Source organism: Homo sapiens, chromosome 3 (assembly GCF_000001405.40).
Source record: "Homo sapiens chromosome 3, GRCh38.p14 Primary Assembly".
Lineage (NCBI taxonomy): Eukaryota > Metazoa > Chordata > Mammalia > Primates > Hominidae > Homo > Homo sapiens.
The window spans coordinates 191,997,060-192,016,514 of record NC_000003.12 but is presented as its reverse complement, the minus strand read 5'-3'; the positions used below and the strand labels follow the sequence as shown (position 1 = coordinate 192,016,514).

Here is a 19,455-nt window from a genome sequence, read left to right as displayed (position 1 = left end):
GACTGTGTAAGCACACAAGTCAAAAGTGTGGAGGATAAATAATCTTTGTCAAAGCCGGGGAAAAGACCTAGGTCCTCCAACTCATCTGTTCCCCTACAATTGATATTTCTTTTTATTTCCCATTTTCAGGCTACTTTCCCAGATAAAAAGACATAATTAAGTTTGACAAGAAAGCATTCTTTTTGTATAAAGAGAAATGTTTTAATACTCTCACACGTTTCTACTTTATTCCTTGATAATTCATGATGTTGACACACAAAAGTGTGACTAGAGAAGGATAACCAGTATGATAAAGAATTAGCCAATCATCATCATGTATAGAAAACATATAAAAGGACAGGGAGTGAGTGGTTTAAAGAAGGGAGTATATTAAAAGCTATCTATGATCACTAGGCTGTCCTTAGAAAGATGAAAAATGCTTATGTTGGGCAATATCAGAAGATAAAACTATTCTAGGGACATGCAGTTTACAGCATGATTTATTTCACTTCAATATAAAGGATTATATATATATAAAATTGTGCCATTATTGGGCCTCATATTCATTTATTATTCATTAAGTAACATTTATTTACTGCTGGGTATGAAAATTAATAAAACATGGGCTCTACTGTGGTGAAATTATGCTCTATCCAGAGGAAAGGCACAGTATCATACATATAGTAGAGGGTGGTTAGGACTGTAATAGAAATAAGTACCAAATGATCCTTTGACACTTCACAGGCAGCAAATGTCTTGATATCATGAACTTTGACTCATAATCTGTCCCACTACCTAGCTTTGTAAAAGAGAATGCTCAATATTTGAATGAAGTAATTAGATCCATCCATCAAAGAATAGACTACTTTGTGTACATTGTACATGTGTACTCCCTCCTAGGGAATATTCAAGAAGCAAGACATAGCCTAGTTTGAGATGCAGTGGAAGTCATTTCAATATTGGTGAGAAGTTTGAAACAGAAGAATAACCAGTAAAAACTCTCACAGCCTTAAGTTTTTGTGGGTCTGTCACTAACATAGAAAAATAAAAATTCATTCTTCACTTTCTTACCATCCCAGCCTTAATAAATGTATTTCTTTATGAAGAGCTCAGGAGATAATCTATTAATAGATTTTCATACTGTTAAAATTATGGGAACAATCTAAATGTTAAGTAGGTATTATAAAAATAATTGGATATTGATGAAGTCTAATTATCATATTTTATTATTAAATTGGAAACATTTTCTCCAAATAATGTAACGCCTATAAGAAAATAAGGATTGAAAACTAAAGCAGCCAAGTATTCCCCTCACATTGACTATGTTTATGAAAACTGCTTTGTAAGATATGGTCTTCTTAAAATTCAAAATTCCAAACAGGGAAAGGTTAGAATAAGGAGGCTATTTAAGTGATGTATGCTGACAATGATCAATTAAGATATTAACAATATAGACCTTCTGGAACCTGCCTCATTGGGAAGTATACTTGTAAGACACAGCTCTTACTCTAAAGTAAATGCTTTGTTTGTGTTTAACAGTGTCAGCTTGTAGGTTTAGGTGTTGCACCCAAATTCTTCAGCAAGGGAGGGAGGGAGAGAGAGAGACAGAGACAGACACAGACAGAGAGACAGAGAGATGGGGCTTGGGGAGGGTGTGCTTGAAATTGCATCTGCTCCTTGTAGAAAAGTTCCATTTATTTATACTGAATATGAAGTATTATGATGAATATTTACCAAAAGGAAGTATTTTATCAAAATTTAGAGGCTTGAGGATTGATAAAACCTTGAGTTTTGGCCAAAGTATGGCTGGGGATGGTGATTCATGCCTATAATCCCAGCACCTTGGGAGGTGAAGTCGGGTGGATCGCTTGAGTCCAGGAGTTCACAACAGCCTGAGCAACATGGAGAAACCCTGTCTCTGAAAAAGAAAAAAAAAATTTACAAAAACTACTCTGGCCTGGTGGTGCATGCCTGTAGTCCCAACTACTCAAGAGACTGAGGTGGGAAGATAGCTTGACCTCAGGAGGTGGAGGTGGGAGGGTTGATTGAGCTCAGGAGGCAGAAGTTACAGAGGGCTGAGTTTACACCACTGCACTCCAGCCAGGGCAACAGAGGCAGACTCTACTTTAATAATAGTAATAATAATAAATATGATGAAAAAATACTTTATTTTGTATAAGTTTTCCAGTTTATATAATATTTACCAACAACAGTAATCTCTCATTAATTTTCCCAACAATCTTGTGAGGTCTTGAAAAATTTATCTTTACAGATGAGAAAATAAGGATCAGAGAATTGATCTGCCTAAAGATACCTTATTAGAAAGTGTGACACTCAGAACTAAAGTCTAGGCCTCCTGGTTCCAAATTTTTTGTTCTTTAGTACCCTATATAGATGAGAAGTTCACCTGGAAAATTACATGCAAAGTAGGCAAATCATGATTAGAGTAATGACTCTGAAAACATGTGTTTGGCACGACCTCATCCAGAGGACCACGTGAGATACTTTGAATACATCTTGTGTATTATAGACCAACATTTCCCTTTCTGAGGACTGTGGAAGCTAGTGGGAGAAAGTGAAAAAAATATAATGACCTATGAGGAAAATCATAAGAGACACAATTTCACTAATCCTCAGATTCCTTCTTTATTTAACAACTTTTTCCTTTTTTGTGTAGTTTTTATTTTATATATTTTTACATAGTTAAGATCATGTCATGGTTATATATTATATCTTTATTTGTTCACATAAGTCATAATCAATTTTCAACGTCACTTAAATTCTTTGTAGGTAATATTTTTATTATATGTATAATATTTCACTTAAACATATATACAATATTACTTCAATGCTTTCCTAATGTTAGACATTTAGGTTGTTTTCAATTTGAGACTCTTTTAGATAACATTGTGATGAAATTATTGCTACTCTTTTAAAAGTAGAATACTATTACCTATATTGTATTGTTTTGTTATATAAATCATTAACATTTATACAACATATATATTTTTATTTATATATGATTTATATCAATAGCAATAATTAGAATGGGCAGAAATTATGAATCTAATCTAGAGGTGCTCTAAGTGGTAAACTATAGATAGATAAAGGTAGGGAGAAAGAAAGATGTAGTAAGAAAGAGAAAGAAAGAAAGAGAGAAAGGGAGAAAGAAAGGGAGAAAGGAAGAGAAAAAGAGAAAGAAAGGAAAGAAAGAAAGAAAGAGAGATAAGACAGAAAAAGAAAGAAAGAGATAAGACAGAAAGAAAAAGAAAGAAAAAAGAAAGAAAGAAAGGAAGGAACGAAAGAAAGAAAAAGAAAGAGAAGGAAGAAAGAAAGGAAAAGAAAATAGTTTAAGCAAGGAAGCATAATGAAGGCATTCTGGGACAATGTATTTAGAAACCAGGGGATATATTTCCTTAGAGGATAAGAAGAATTATATGTAAAGCAAGAGCAAAAATTGTTAGGGATGGGTTAAATGGGTTGGTACATATTTATTATTTGGAGATGTTAGCATGAGGCAATAGAAGTCCTCTGTAGAATTTGATTACTATGGGAGTCCTAGAAAACTTGATGTATTAGTCAGGGTCCAAACAGGAGACAGAAAACACAGTAGTAATTTGACAAAGGAGATTTCATATAAATAATTTTAAGTAGGTATAAAGTTGCCAACAAATAAAGAATAATTCTAAGGTGTAGGAGAGGTGGAAACTGTAGAAGCTGCTGCCATCCTTATAGCTGAGAAAACAAAAGGAGCAAGGGAGGAAGGGTGCTGTAGATCTTTAAGTCACACTGCTCAGGAGGGAGTTCCGCTTCTGTGCTGCTGTTGTCTCTGAGCTCAGAGGTCTGGCCTCATGGGTTCTGGGACTCATACCTCTGAGGAAGGGATGCTGCTGCTACAGGAACAACTGCTAACTATTATGAGGACAAAGCTTTCTTGAGGTCCTGATCATGAGAACCACAAGGTCACAAAGAGCCCTCAGGAAAACACAAAAGCAAGTCCTGTCTTCTTCCAAGTATGCAGCCTCTTTGTAGCAATTTTTGTTGACCAGCTCTAATGGAAAGGCTGCCAAAGCACAAGTTTGCAGTCCCAGCCTCAGCATTTCAAAATAGAGTATAGAAGGGTGGGTTTGAAGTTGAGAAATATCATAACAACAGGCACTATTCATATGTTCTTACATGAATTAAATAAGAGGAAAATTGAAGATAATACATTTATTTATGACGAGCCACTCAGCCAAAACTCCTTCTTTACTTCTTGGGTTTTGGAAATGGAAAAGCTTAAAACTAAAAAATTCCAAGAATCATTTTTTGATGCTTTTTTAAAAAAGGGAGCTACATTAAAAATCACATATGGGTCAGAGTTCCTACTTTGCCACTAGATTATCTACTATGACCCTAAGTAAACTATTTCCTTCTCTTAGGCTCAGTGTACTCTCTAATCCAATGAATCTATGTCATTGCATCTAATAAAGCTTTCGTGAGAATCAAAATGAGGTATGACACAAGTGCTTTGTAAATCACCAAATCATTGGTTTTCTTTCCAAATCCAGATAGTTTCTAACATGACAGGATGAACTTCTGTAATATCTCTTATATTTATTTTATATTTATTCTTATTATAAGCACCTTAGTTTACTTACATATTACATGAACCTTTCTGAGCAGAATTTAATCTCTGACTTTATTTTCTCTCCTATGTGTATTTCAAACATTGATGGATTTTTGGATTAATCTTACATATTATTGATTGAAATGCATCACTATCTTATCTACCTATTGCTCAGTAACTTCAGTCTACACTGCCCAACTTGTGGGCACACACGATTTCACAATTATTTTACATCTTATTACATCTTCATCTCTACCTACATTTGCTAGTGTCTTTCTCCACAACATATTTTTGTATCATTGAAAATAGGCATATTCTCCTTTGACCTTCTACAACAGAAAAGTTTATTCTGTGTGAGCACACGGTACATGCATGTTTGTATGGAAATCTCTTTATTTTATAGCATATTTTGTCATTTGTTGACAACATTCTCCTTAAGAGGTGGTAAGCCTTCAGGGATTAGAGGCCATTTTTGTATCAGTGCCTCTTGCAGTATTTTGTAGGTCAGCAACAGACAATAGACTTGTTGCATAATGTATTAGAGGAAGACTTGGCAGAACTTTGTGTTCAGTGTGGTACAAGGGATGAAGGAGACAAAGAAACCAAAGATGACTCATAGTTGTGAGCCTAGGAGTGTTAAGGACTTCATGTAATATATACATTTGGAAAAGATGGATCAGAGGAAGGTCATGGACATTTGTAAACATGCTCAGATTTAGTTTTAGGAGAACGCTTAATTGAATTCTATTCAATTATTAAACTTTTTTTAGAGATTAGGCAAAAGAACAATAAGCAATGTTATGGTTATAGATTTATACCTTAGAGGTTGAAATTTAAAACAAACAAGTAAGTGAATTTCTTAAAGCCTAAGAGAGTGCCTTTCACAAAATAAATTTTATTAAACAGATACCATGTGCAATGAAACATTGGTGAATACAATGGACAAAGTTCTTAACTTCTGAAGCTTGCAGATTTACTGCTGTAAATGAGTAGAGGCAAGATAAAAAAATAAAACCCATAAGTTTGGGTTCTTTCATATTCAGTCATTCAACAAATATTTTTTGAGTGTCATTCATAAACTAGTTTTTGGGCTATATTCTTGGGGATATAGCAATAAATGTATCAGAGAGTTTACGGTCTTATAAAAACAAGTAATATAAACTTGATGAGTGTTATGAGGTGCAATAGAGTAGCATGCTTTGAGAACACTTGTCATGGGTACTCAACCTAGAGTAGGCTGTCAGGAAAGACCTCTTGGGAGAATGAGGCATAGGGATGCAGCTGGTGGGAGAAGTGTATTTTGGCAGAGAACATAATGATTGAAGAACCGAAGGTGAAAAATAGTATATCAAGTTCAGGAGTGTAAATAGCACTGAATGAAAATATGGTAGGGATGCAGTGTAGTGTGTGTGAAAGGACTAGAGATACAGGTGTGCCCACATAATGGGGAACTCTGTAAATTATGTTACTAACTCAGAATTATATTTTAAGCACGTTGTTAAGCCACTTGTAGCTATGAATAATTGATAGAATAAATTGAAATCAAAGAAGCTATCACCAAAATATGGCTCTAATTTCCCCAATGACTACGTTTAACTGAATGATGTCTACTTTCCTTTCTCTCTTCTTTGAAAACATTCTAGTAAGATCTGTCACCCTCCATTTTAAAACTGCTTTATTGAGTTATAACTCAATTCAAAACTATATACAAATTTAAATTGTGGAATTTAATACATTTTGACATATGTACATGCCCATGAATCCATCATCACAACCAAGACAATGCACATATGCATCACTCCTTAAAGTTTCCTCATCCTCTGTGTCATCCTCCTTTTCTCACCCCCTTACCCTACCCTAATCTCACCAGCCCTGATCTGCTTTCTGTGACTGTAAATTGGTATTCATATTCCATAATTGTGTGTAAGTGGAATAAAACACGATGTGCTCTTTCTGTTTGTCTTCGTTCACTTAGTATAATTATTTTGAGATCCATCCATGCAGTTGCATGTATCAATAGTTCATCCCTTTTTTATAGACCAGCAGTATTTCATTAAGTGTACAACACTTTATTTATCCATTCACCTGCTCATGAAGATTTGCTTTTCCTCACACACTTGGGTTACCAGTACTCAGCTGAAGACTTGAGGGACCTCTCTACAGCTAGCTATCTAGAACTCTCTGTTTGCTCAGCTCTGTCTTCTCCAGTATTCTGTCTAGAGAAAGCTGAACAACTTGACATCCCTGGACCCTCAGGTCTCTTAAATTAGGGACACCACTGGGCTTTTTTAGATTCCTTTCCCTGCCTCTCCATAGGGATCTAGAACTCTCTCTTTGCTTAGCTCTTTCTCCTCCAGTACTCCCTCTAGAAAAAGTTACACACGATGACATCGCTGTACCCTACAGTCTGTCTTAATTTAGCATGATGGCTGGGCTTTTTTCAGGTTCTTCTTCCTGCACAATGACCTGTATACTCTCTATAGATTGTAAGCTGGGGGCTATCACACAAATTACTTTATTTTTTCCCTCCTCAATCAGGAATCACTGTCTTGGGCTGCCTGATATCCAACATCTAAAATCTGTTGTTTCATATATTTTACCTGGTTTTGTTCATAGTTTCCATTGTAAGTGTAAATCCAGTCCCTGTTTCATCATCATGGCTAAAAGTGGAAGTTTCTTTTTGGTAATATTCAGTTATAGAAGTCTTATTTTTATAACTATGACTTATTTTAATGTATTAAAGATATAGTCGAGTCCAACCACAAAATGCCAGCCTCTTGTTCATTTCCATGCCTCACTCCTCTTTTAAATGGATGCCTCGCTCATGGCTCAGGGATCTGCAGTGGGAAAGAAGTCATAGTCTGTTTTCTCACTCTTCTTCTGGCTCTTTCAATTATCATAATCTCTCAAGCTGTGGACTCTTCTGAGGCTGGGGCAGGGGAGTGGAAGCCAGAAGAAAGGCGGGTGGGCTTTAGGTAATTTTTACTATTTTATTTGTACTCTTTGGTTTGATGCCCTTGATATTTGCAAAAACTCTCTCATGAGTTGCATTTTTGGGTTCTTTGGAGGCCTCACAGAAACTGCCAAATGACAGTTTCCACACAACTAGGAAATATACCTTCTGACAGAACGTTTGCAGATGCTTCCTCCTCCAGCTGCTATGTGGATATGTAACCACATTCACCCTTGATATCTCTTTATTTCACCAGGCATCCTACTGAGATGAATTCTCTTTAAAAGAGCTACTTTCCATGGCATCCATTTGGCCAATAGAAAATTCATCATGCTTACCACACCAAGTAGCAGGAAGGCAGGCTTGTCACGCTGTACCCTCCTTCCTTGCCCTAGTCTCCAGTACTGCTCCAGCTGGCCTCTAACCTCCAGAATCCTCCCATTAATATGCAGGTATGAGTTTCTAAATAACGCACACATACACCCTACCTCTCCCTAAGGGGCCGTATCTCAAGCTATCCCCAAATGTCTTCATATTTCTTTTTTTTTTTTTTTTTTTTGTGACGGTGTCTCACTCTGTCACCCAGGCTGCAGTGCAGTGGCTCGATCTTGGCTCACTGCAAGCTCCGCCTCCCGGGTTCACGCCATTCTCCTGCCTCAGCCTCCTGAGTAGCTGGGACTACAGGCGCCCGCCACCACGCCCGGCCAATTTTTTGTATTTTTGGTAAAGACGGGGTTTCCCCGTGTTAGCCAGGATGGTCTTGATTTCCTGACCTCGTGATCCTCCCGCCTCAGCCTCCCAAAGTGCTGGGATTACAGGCGTGAGCCACCGCGCCTGGCCCATATTTCTTTAGTCTGGTAATCTACATGTATATCTTAGTAATTTAGTAAACATTCAGGAGCAAAGTAAAATGGCAGTCCCTAATTTTTGCAAGCAACTCAATCTCCCAGATGTTTTATTGTCCTTAGCATTTTCCTCACTTGGCTTGAGAGGTTGATGATACCCCTCTCTTATCTTTCCCTTAAGGAAGGGTAGGATTAATATTAAAGAATATGTTAATATTAAAACATGTTAGTCTCCTATTAAAATAGATATTTGAGTTTCTAATGGTTGTTTCATTCTCTTTGCTGTGTTTTAACAAGTCCCGCATGAGTGTATCTAGAAACTTTCTTTAGAATGTGATTATAGTGATTCATTCCCATCCAAAATTCAAGACATAAGGAATTTTGTCATTTAACATCTTGTTGAGACTGGATCAAATATTCCTTTTGGAATGATCACTATAGCTGCAGTGCAGGAAACAGAAGAAAGGGAGGACAAATAGGACATTATTTATTTATTAATACTTTGTTCTTAGCTTTGTTGAGGTATGATTAACACATATAAATTGTATGTATTTTAGGTGTACGACGTGATATTTTTGCTAAATGTATACATTGTGGAACGACTACCACAATTGTGCCAACATATCCAACAACTGGCCTATTCATCTTTTGTGTGGTGGGTTGGGGGACAGAGGGGTGAGAATACTTGAGATCTACTTTCTTAGCAAATTTTGAATATAGGACACATTGCTATATTAACTATAGTCATCATGCTGTACATTAGATCTACAGACTATTTGTCTTATAACTGAAATTTGGTATTCTTTGGCCAATATCTCCTCTTTTCTCTCATATTTAAAAGACTATGGTTCATAATAATTCCAGGTATCAAGCTGAAGTTACTCCTGAAAGATACAGAGAACAGCTTTTTTTTATTATTATTAAAACTTCAGAGGCACTGCAACTGGGATCTAAAATCCCGGGGAGCCAGCAGTAAGGGTGTTGAGGCTGCTACTGATAGAGACAATGATTGGAGGTGGAGGTCTCCTTTAATTGTGTCTAAGACAAGGAGATTTATTCTATTTGTCTTGGTTCTCTTGTGGGTCAGAGTCCAGGTTCTCTAATTTCACATTTATGGGACCAAACCATTAACTCTTGCAGAAAGTATGAAAACCATCTCAAAAGGTATTTCTGGCCTACCAAGGAGGGTATGTTAGATCTAGAAAATTCCTCCTATATTATTGAAACCAAATTTAAGAGAAGCCTTAAATTCTCTTCTTAGCACACATTTTTTACACCTCGGGGGAATAGATCATTTAGATCCATCTTGAGCAGTTCTTGGGGCACCGTTTGGCATGTTTGTCTCTTATTAGGCTCCATTTTTCTAAATCTTAGTTAAAAAGAGGGATAAATTTAGATAAATCAAATTTCTGTTCAAATGCCATCTCCTCAGAAATATTTTTTCTATCAAAAGAGCAGCTATCATTTTCTATCCCTTTATCCTACATTATTTTCCTTTATAGCTCATCTTATTACCTGACATTATTCTGTATATTTTTATATTTATTTATTGTTTGGCTATCTCATTTAAATGTTAGTTTTATGAGGATAGAGACTTAGTGTGCTTTATAAGGCTAGAGACTTAGTTGCTTCTGTATCTCCAGTGCTTAGAACAATGCCTGACATATAATAAATGTTCAGTAAATACTTGTTGAATTACTATGTTGAGTAGAAGACTGGACCTTTGTTGAAGTTCTCTCTCAGCACAACATCATTTCCATTATTTCTTTGTAAGAATTTGATGCTGAGGATTTCCCTTCACAGTGTTATCTAACCCTTTTATACAGGAAACAGTCCCAGTACTTGGCATGACATTGCAGCTAGACATAGGATCCAAACATCTAAGGTGGCATTGTGGAAAGAGACAGTTTATCACATGGACCCACGCCCAGGAAAACAAATAAAGAGTCCAGTTATCTGAGTTGGTGTTCTCAAAACAGGAAGTGGCTCTTTTACTAGAGTTGGAACATATAAACCAGTCAAGATGGCTTGATTATGAGTCCCTTTAACACTGAGCCAAACTTTAATGTTGCTTTGGACTAAAGACTGGATTGTTAACTACATTTGCACAAAACTAATCCTGAAGTGGAAGGTGAAGTAGCTCCACCTGAGGGAGAAGGGAAGATGAACTGTGAAGAAGCAATAGACACTTCGGGCTTTCATGTAACTGTGGCAACAGGAATCCCAGTCAGTTCGCCATGATGTTGAAATTGATGGTTACCAAAATGGTCAAAAAGGACTTGCTTCACTAAAGTGACCAGAAAATTTCATTCAAAATTATCAATTGTGTAACACTTTTAAAACATAATAGAATGGCCATTTATATGACTACGAAAGTATTTATCTTTAAAAGTTCCAGGGAACATTTCTTTCTGGTGTTTAGGGTCCATCCAAAAATCAACGAGTACTTAGCAGCAATACAGTTGGAATTAAAATCCCATTAAGTCTCACTTTGTGAGTTTCTCTAATTAAAGTCTCACTCTACTTCTCAGTAAATATTTATTAGAGGAATCATTAGGTGAAGTCCCAAATTATTAATGTTTGAATATAAATATCAAATATGCTACAACAAGTATCCAAATGTTTCACGCAGTGTCATTAATATAACTGAATTAGTCTGGAAAATGTCATCAGAAATGTCTTCAATGTCAGGGAGGGTAGCAGGAGGGGCTGCTACTCTCACTGATGATCAGGAACTTGTTTTTCCTTGTCCTCCTACATTTACTCTAATTCGAGCAAAATGGCATTCATTTTTGAAGAGTTATAAACAGGATTATCTCAAAGATACCTTTCAGTCTCAAATCCCTTGTACCTTTAATTGTGCTTTTAAGAGTTATCTGTTTTCCTCCTAGGTCACTATCAGAGTCCTGTGTGTGAACTGAGGTGAGGATTCCGGTCAGGCAGACACTTCAGTCCATCAGAGCAACTCTACTTTTATCTCTTTTTTAATACTGGGATTTGCAGTATATTTTCATTTGAAGACTGTTTTGTGTATAAAAGCAAAGCATTCTGGGGGCAAAGAAGATACAGTGGAACTGAGTACAGGCCAAAGAATCTCTAGATAAAAGACTTTTTTTGTTGTTATTCAAAGGTCATTTAAATATGGTTAGATTTATCACCTCTATTATTGATTAATATTTACATATATTTGTCATATCACTCAATTACCAATGCATAAGCACCACTTTTCTGAGGAAAGGAATATTGATGCATCTCAGCCTGCTACTTAAGTGAGATAATTAATATATCTCTGGAATTATCTATGCATGGTAGACCTTGATGTTTGTCTGCAAAGGATAACCAAGTTCATTCCCAGGAATAAATTACATATGTTTAAAAGACATATTAAAGAGACCAATTAGGTGGAAAAAGCTTCTTCTTCATATTAACACAATACATTTAATTATAGCAATGAGAATGCAAAGAAAATGGTACTTGAAGAGGGAAATTTAAAGGGTGAGGGAAATTCAGAATCCAGAATAATCACAACGTGAGCCCAAAGAAGGTAAATATTTTTGAGGAAGTTATAGTTTAACAATAATTTGATGTGACACTTTTCTTTTTTTTCTTGAGATGGAGTCTTGCTCTGTTGCCCAGGCTGGAGTGCAGTGGCGTGATCTCAGCTCACTGCAAACTCTGCCTCCTGGGTTCAAGCAATTCCCCTGCCTCAGCCTCCCGAGTAGCTGGGATTACAGACATGTGCTACCACACTCGGCTAATTTTTGTATTCTTAGTAGAGATGGGTTTCACCATGTTGGCCACGCTGGTCTCGAACTCTTGACCTCCTGATCCACCCACCTTGGCCTCCCAAAGTGCTGGGATTACAGGCGTGAGCCACTGTGACCGGACCAAAACTTTTCAAATATAGTATTCAACTTGGCATTATTATTAATCTTAGGTTCTATACCTTGGGAACAATATGAATTGCAATATGAGATACATATTTGGGTAATGATAGAGCAATGATTATTATGGCAGGGAACCTCTGATTTAAGAGAAACATTGAGCAGTCTGAGTTAAAAGACAAAGAAGTGGGGTCCTGAGCCAAGCTTTACCAAACATTACTGACCATAGACAATTCACATTCCCTGTCTAGGTTCCAGTTTTTCTATAATTTGAAGATGTCGAATTAGTGATCTTTAAAGTTATTTCAGTTATAGCATTATACAAATGAAAATAAAATAAAAAGCTTAGATTCAAAGCACATGTGGTATCCCAATGAATTGATTTCTGATAAAACCCACTTGAGTTAAAAAAAAAAATGTGATTTTATAGCAGCCTGTGTGCAGGGGGCAAACAATTTTTAAACCAGAAGATAAATAGAAGGAGTGATTGTAAGAGATTATTAAGAAAACTGAAAAGAATATATTTGGCATTCATGAGGAAAGTGAACACTGCCTCTCAAATTATTTTTGCTTGAGAGGAGAGTGGCCTTTGGCTTCTCACCTGTGTTTTGGTTGGCTTTAAAAACTTGGATTTAAGTCCCACCAAAGTTGAATATAAAATGTATAGAAAATTCCACTGCTCAAAAAAAAAAAAAAGAACACTCCTTCCACAAATTGCCATTATGTATGATAGTTTGCCATTTGAGACAATCATTGAATATTCTTAGTTGCAAACAACAAAATTCACTCCAATAGTTTTAGTAGGAAGTGATTTATTTGAAGTCTATTGGCAGCACCAGAAAACCTGTATAGACCAAGGGGACCAGGCTTAAATCCTAAATATCTAGGAAAAATATGCCTTTGGGAACAGCTGTCCAGGAGCGATGCCAAGGGAATGCTGTAGCAAAATAGCATTTTCATCAGTTGATGTTTGCAGCTGATTATGCTCAGAACTTTATGGTTAGGTATTGCCCCCCTTGTGGATTTTAGTATTTTTCAATGATTCTGGCAGATTAGACACAGTCCATATTGTCCTCACCATAGCGAGGTGAAATCCATGTTGTTGAGCTTATAGTTAACTTACCTTCCTGACTATATTCAGGAGCCCTTTGAGCAAATACTAAAGTACTTGAAGAAAGAGACTACGACTACAATACAATTTTCACATTTTTGTAACTCTACTACAGAGGAGTCCTTTTTGGTGAGTATTCACATAAGATATAAATATTCTCACCTTTGGCTCATATCTCTTTATCAGTCTTCTTTGTCAATAATTATCCAATTTCATTCCTTCCATGTGACTGCCCATTGGGTGAAAACTTTAGCCATTGCCAATTAACTGGTAGATGTCTACATCTGACCCTATCACTGGATGTACTGTAGTTTGTTTAAACATTAATGCATTGAAGGACATTTGTGTTGCTTCCATTTTTTGGCTATTCCAAATAAAGCTCCTGTGAAACTTCTAATATACGTTTTTATAGAATGTCATGTTTTTGTTTCTCTGGAATAACTGTTCCCAAATAGAGTTGTTATATGATAGTTGGCTGTTTATTTTGTTTGTATTTTTCTTTTTCTGTCTTTTTTTAAGAAAACACCAAATTGTTTTCTGAGTGACCTGATTTATCTACACCCTTACCAAAATTTGGTGTTTTCACTATTTTTGGTTTTAGTCATTCTGATAGGTGTGCAGTGATCTCAACGTGATTTTACTCTACCTTTCCCTAATGACTAATAATGTCAAACATCCTTTCATGTGCTTATTTGACATCTGTTTATACTATTTGATGCAATGTCTGTTCATGTCTTTTGCCCAATTTATTACAAGATGTTGAATTATATGAATGCTTTATATATTCTAGCTACTAGTTTTTTCATTGGATACGTGATTTCCAAATATTTTTTCCAGTCTATAGAAAATGCCTTTACTTTCCTCACATGGTCTTCTATAGAATAATAGTTAAAAAAATTGATGAGGGCTGGGTGTAGTGGCTCACGCCTGTAATCCCAGCACTTTGGGATGCCGAGGTGGGCGGATCACGAGGTCAGGAGATTGAGACTATCCTGGCTAACACGGTGAAACCCCGTCTCTACTATTTTAATAAAATATTTGTAGGATTTTAACAAAAAATTAGCCGGGCGTGGTGGCGGATGCCTGTAGTCCCAGCTACTAGAGAGGCTGAGGCAGGAGAATGGCGTGAACCCGGGAGGCGGAGCTTGCAGTGAGCCAAGATCGAGCCACTGCACTGCAGCCTGGGCGACAGAGTGAGACTCTGTCTAAAAAAAAAAAAAAAAAAAATTGATGAGCTCTAACTTATCAGTTTTTTCTTTTATGGGTTGTGCTTTTGATGCCAAGTTCAAGTACTCCTTGCTTTTAGCCCGTCATCCTAAAATTAGTCTCTTATTCCTTGATTTGTGATGACTTGGTTGAATTATTTTTGTCAAATTTCCAGAGGAATTTACACTTTATATCCATCTGATAAGGGGAGAAAGGACATGAGAGGAGTAGAAAAGCATGGGCAATGTATTGTGTCACAAAGAGCACAGTTTTTGGTGTCAGATAGACTCAAGAGTGAATTGATTGGTTTGGCAACATATTGGCTATGTGACATTGGTTGATTTGCTTCTGTGTATAACACTTTTTGATTATCAAAAGAGGAATAAAATATCCGTATCACAAGTTGGCATTATAGATTAAAGAACAGTGCATTTGGCATTTGATATGTACTCAATAAAGAGAAAAAACAAGCTGTCAAGATTAATATAATTTATCATACAACAAAGCATGTGTCAGCATTTATTGGTGTAGGGGAATTTAGTTATAACACCTTATATTCTTATATTGCCATTCAAGGTACTGAAGAAGACAGGAACTTGAGATATTATTTTGAAGTAAGAGAGCATTTCTTTGGGTAGCAATAAGGAACAGAAATCACCAAAGAAGATATAAACAAAAAAATGAGCACGGTGGGAGATGTGTTAGATATAACCAGTACTCCTTAATGTCTTGCATTCTTCTCCATCCTGGTCAAACAGAAGACTACACCTTCTAGCCCTTTGTTTTGGTGGTGACATGTGACGATATCTGGCTAATGCGCAGTGAAGAGAAATGGCATGTGTCACTTAGAACTGAGGGAGCAGACCACTCTACATCATCCTCTAGCTCTCTTTTCCCACTCTGTGGCATCCTAGAAACTATGTGGCATGTTGGAGCCTCAAGTTAGAAGTAGGTTTTATTTCTACTATAGTCACCAATGGAAGGGAGCTGCCTATGGGAGAGTCTTCAGAGGACCTTGAATCAGTAAGAAGTAAGCTTTTCTGTGTGAAGTCAGTGGCATTTCAGTTTATTTGCACAGCTTGAGCTAGCCAATTCTTACTAATACAGAATTTTTTTTTTGAGACAGAGTGATCTGGGCTTACTGCAACCTCAGCCTCCCAGGTTCAAGTGATTCTCGTGCCTCAGCCTCTCAAGTAGCTGGGATTAAAGGCACGTGGCAACATGCCTGGCTATCCTGATCTCAAATTCCTGACCTCAATTGATACACCCACCTTGGCCTCCCAAAGTGCTGGGATTACAGGCATGAAAGACCATCACTGGCCCAGAATATTTTCCAGTAATGGTCACAGCTTAGTCTGGCAGTGCTTCTTACTAAAACTCCATAGCAAGGTACATCTTAATATGTTTACATTCAAGTGCTCGACTTTTTGGAAGTGAACTTGTGGAACTTAAATGTGGGTTAAAAATAATTTATAGCAAATTAAAATAGTATTATATATTAACTATAATATATATCACAATATATGGATTACATTATTTTTATTTAAATTATCAATAAAATAAGTTGCAAACAATAGTGACCAATTAATTTTAATATAATGTTCCATGCTGATATTTTTAATCTTCACAAATATGAGACTGTATCTTATCTCATTTAATATTAATGAAGTTATTATCTTTTTGTTTTGCATTTGGTGCTAGTAAGAACTGAGAATTCTAATTTGAAATATTTACTATTGAGAACTACAAAATATATTTCACTTTGTTAAAATATTTGTAGGATTTTCTTCTTAATATTAATCTGGAATTAACAAGGGGACCTATTTACTTTGGAGATCATTATCTGTATAAACATAATTTCTTCTGTAATATGAAAATCAAAGTCTATCATCATTCTACTTGAAGAAATTTTTTTGTCTCATCTCATTTATTTATTTATATTTATTTAGAGGCAGGGTCTTGCTCTGTCACCCAGGCTGGGGTGCAGTGATGTGATCTCAGCTCACTGCAGCCTCTGCCTACCAGGTTCAAGCAATTCTCCCACCTCAGCCTCCCAAGTAGCTGCGGTTACAGGTGTGAGCCACCACGCCGGGCTAATTTTTTTATTTTTTTGTGTGTTTTTAGTAGAGACACGGCTTTGCCATGTTGCCAGGGTGGCTAATCTTATTTTCCTACACCCAAGAATGATCAATTTTTTTTTTCTTACAATGATACCAATTGCTATGTAATTGAAGAAAAACTAATTTGGTACTATAATTTATATAATAAAATGTTAAGATTTTTTCTATTACTCTACCTACAAAATAACTGATTTTTATCTGAAAAGCTAGTAGTTTGTCTTTAAAATTTTAAATGCATCAAAAGACTTTCTTATCTGTCTTAAACCTGCAAAGTGAATTATAAATACTTGCTTAACACTTATTAACATTTATTAATAACATTTCAATCTTTAAGTATTTGCAAAAAATATTTTCTACCTTCTTTTCAGCTATACTATTATTTACTAGATATTAGCACATGTAAGTTCTAGATACAACATTTTGTTCTTTTAGAGAGCTATCTCAGTTTGGTGTGCAAAAATAAATGTTCATATTAGCCATTCATAATTTAGCAGTTATTTAGAGCTATATGTTTTAAAGGTATTAATTATTTATAACTTACATTACTTCTATAGTGTGGTCAAATTAAGTAGCTAAGGTTTGGGTAACTTCTTTATTAAAAAAGAAAAAGAAAAGAAAAAGTGTGATCTTTGTGCTTGCTTGAGATATTAGGACTCTTACCTGCAGACTTCTTTTTATTACATAAAAAAAGATCTGAATACTGTCAGCCTAGAGTGGATTCGAATGAGCTGTATGTGAACAGCTGCCCTAAGCAGTTAGATTCCCTGAGCCTTTTGCAAAAAGACAAGCATCTCATGCCCTGGAAAGGGAGCCTGGAGCTTAACAATACAAAAGTTGGAACTGGTTGAGAGTACTACAACATCTGAGGATCTGAAACTGACTTATTTTGTTTACCACTTCATTACACTTAGCATTACATTCATACTGCATGAGACTATTCCCCATTTTTAACACAAAACTGTACTTTTACTAACTTCAGGCACCCTGGCTTATACCATCAACCTTACGCTCTATTACTTTTCCCTCCCTCCTCTAAATGTTCAAGCTCTACGTCTTCATTTGGGCTTTAAATAGTAAATAGGTATACTATATATTGAAACACCACCTTACAATACTTTACAATACTGAAGAGTGATTTAGATAACACTTGCTCTCTTGCTTTCATATGCTAATGTTACCATTTTGGGGGGATATTTTGGGATTGGTTTTCTTGATTGATGAAATGGCCCACGGATGCAGTCAGTGAGTTGGAGTTCATGAAGGTATTCAGGGTTGAATATCTACAAAGTCTGCTTTTTCTGCCTTTGAGAACTACGATTTCATTATTGAGTTTGTCACATGGTGAATAAGCAAAGAGAAAACAATTTTCATGAAGTTTCAGCTTGATTGCCAAAGAGTGGTTTTCAAAATGGCAATTTGCTGCTTCCATGTTGTAGGATAACATTTTGTTTACCCTTAATTGTTAAAATCAATTGTGGTTGCAATTCCAGAGGGGCCTACCTTTATAGTGTAAGGTTTGAATGACTTGTCAAAAGTGCTAAGCTCTAGATTTAGAGTTTCAAAAAATACCTTTTGATTTTCCCAAAGTGATACTATGAACCTTTGAAATGGCTTGACTTTGCCCAGGCATCAGGTTTCCCTGCAGAGCATACAGGCTTTGTGTTCAGTATTTTGATCCCCAAAGGAATGCCTTTTGGAAATGCCAAGCTAGCACAAATCCTAAAGCTTCTAAGTGCCTGCTGTTCTACTACTACTGTTGTGTGTCTTGTTGACGTTTCCTTTATGTACTTCAAAGACATTGAAACAAATCAGAAAACTGTATCAAGGGGTGAGGGAAAATAGCAGGAGAGATTACATTTCATTGTTCCTTTTATTCTTCAGCTCTGGTTCCTAGACTTTCAGACAAGTTGAGTGAGATGAAAGATGGTGCCTGCTGTTTTACTGAAAGAGTCTTGGTTCCTGCTGCTCAGGTACAAGCTCTAGGATGAATATATCACAGCTATATCTTGAGAATGTCTTAGTTCTCTTCTGAAAGAGAGATATGCAGCTGTGCATTTCTAGGGCATGCAACTGGGATAGGAGAAAAAAATAAACATGACTTTAGGCTTACTGTGGCCACAGAAAGACTTCATAAGGAAACCAAAAATTTTAAGACTTTATTGGATTATTTTCACTCTTGTTGCTGTATATATTTGGGAGCTTATCAAGCTGTCTTTCCCTGTGTTGTTGGGAGAAGAATGTTGGACCAGAAATCCATAGAACTGGGGGTTGGAATTATGGCTTCAACATTCTCTAGCTCTGTGAATTTGGCCAAATTACTTAGTTTCTCTACTTATATCTTTTCCTTTATAATAGGACAGATTTGATAATCTCAATATTTTATACTTTACAGGACTATTGTGAGGCTGAAGCACTGAAGCAATGTAAGAAATTATTGGAATTGCCTCATAGAATTTGGGCCCAGCAGATCTTTGGTACTTTTTCCAACATTTATGTAAACACATTATCTCACCATGTGTTTGCTTAGTAACATTGCAGATTTCAATAGGCATACTCACTAAATTGTGAGTCTTGTACTGGGAGAGTAGATTGGTCTGAGATTTTCCCTGGTGTCATAGGCTTTTACCAACAGAGTGTTCAAATTTCAGGTATTCTACCTTGTTTACATTTTGGATTGGGTACCATGTGCTAAAGGAATGTGCAGTGGCCTGAGAGACTCCTGCTGTTTTCAAGAAGATTCTGCCTCGG

General features: G+C 36.2%; 1 long non-coding RNA gene across 1 annotated transcript in view, besides 1 other annotated feature; it reads left to right on the top strand.

Moving 5' to 3' along the window:
• The window catches only part of LOC105374277 (uncharacterized), a 32,373-nt gene extending 20,922 nt beyond the window's left edge, over window positions 1–11,451 (top strand). The window contains exons 3-4 of the long non-coding RNA XR_924827.2: window positions 7,798–7,993; window positions 11,278–11,451. This is a non-coding gene — a long non-coding RNA (uncharacterized LOC105374277). The remainder of the gene's footprint in view (window positions 1–7,797; window positions 7,994–11,277) is intronic.
• Window positions 18,232–18,783: an enhancer, noted in NCBI's record as "NANOG hESC enhancer chr3:191715521-191716072 (GRCh37/hg19 assembly coordinates)". NCBI's record gives its function as "activates a minimal SCP1, AML or CMV promoter by ChIP-STARR-seq in naive H9 embryonic stem cells {active_cell/tissue: H9 hESC(naive)}" and the evidence as "EXISTENCE:reporter gene assay evidence [ECO:0000049][PMID:30033119]".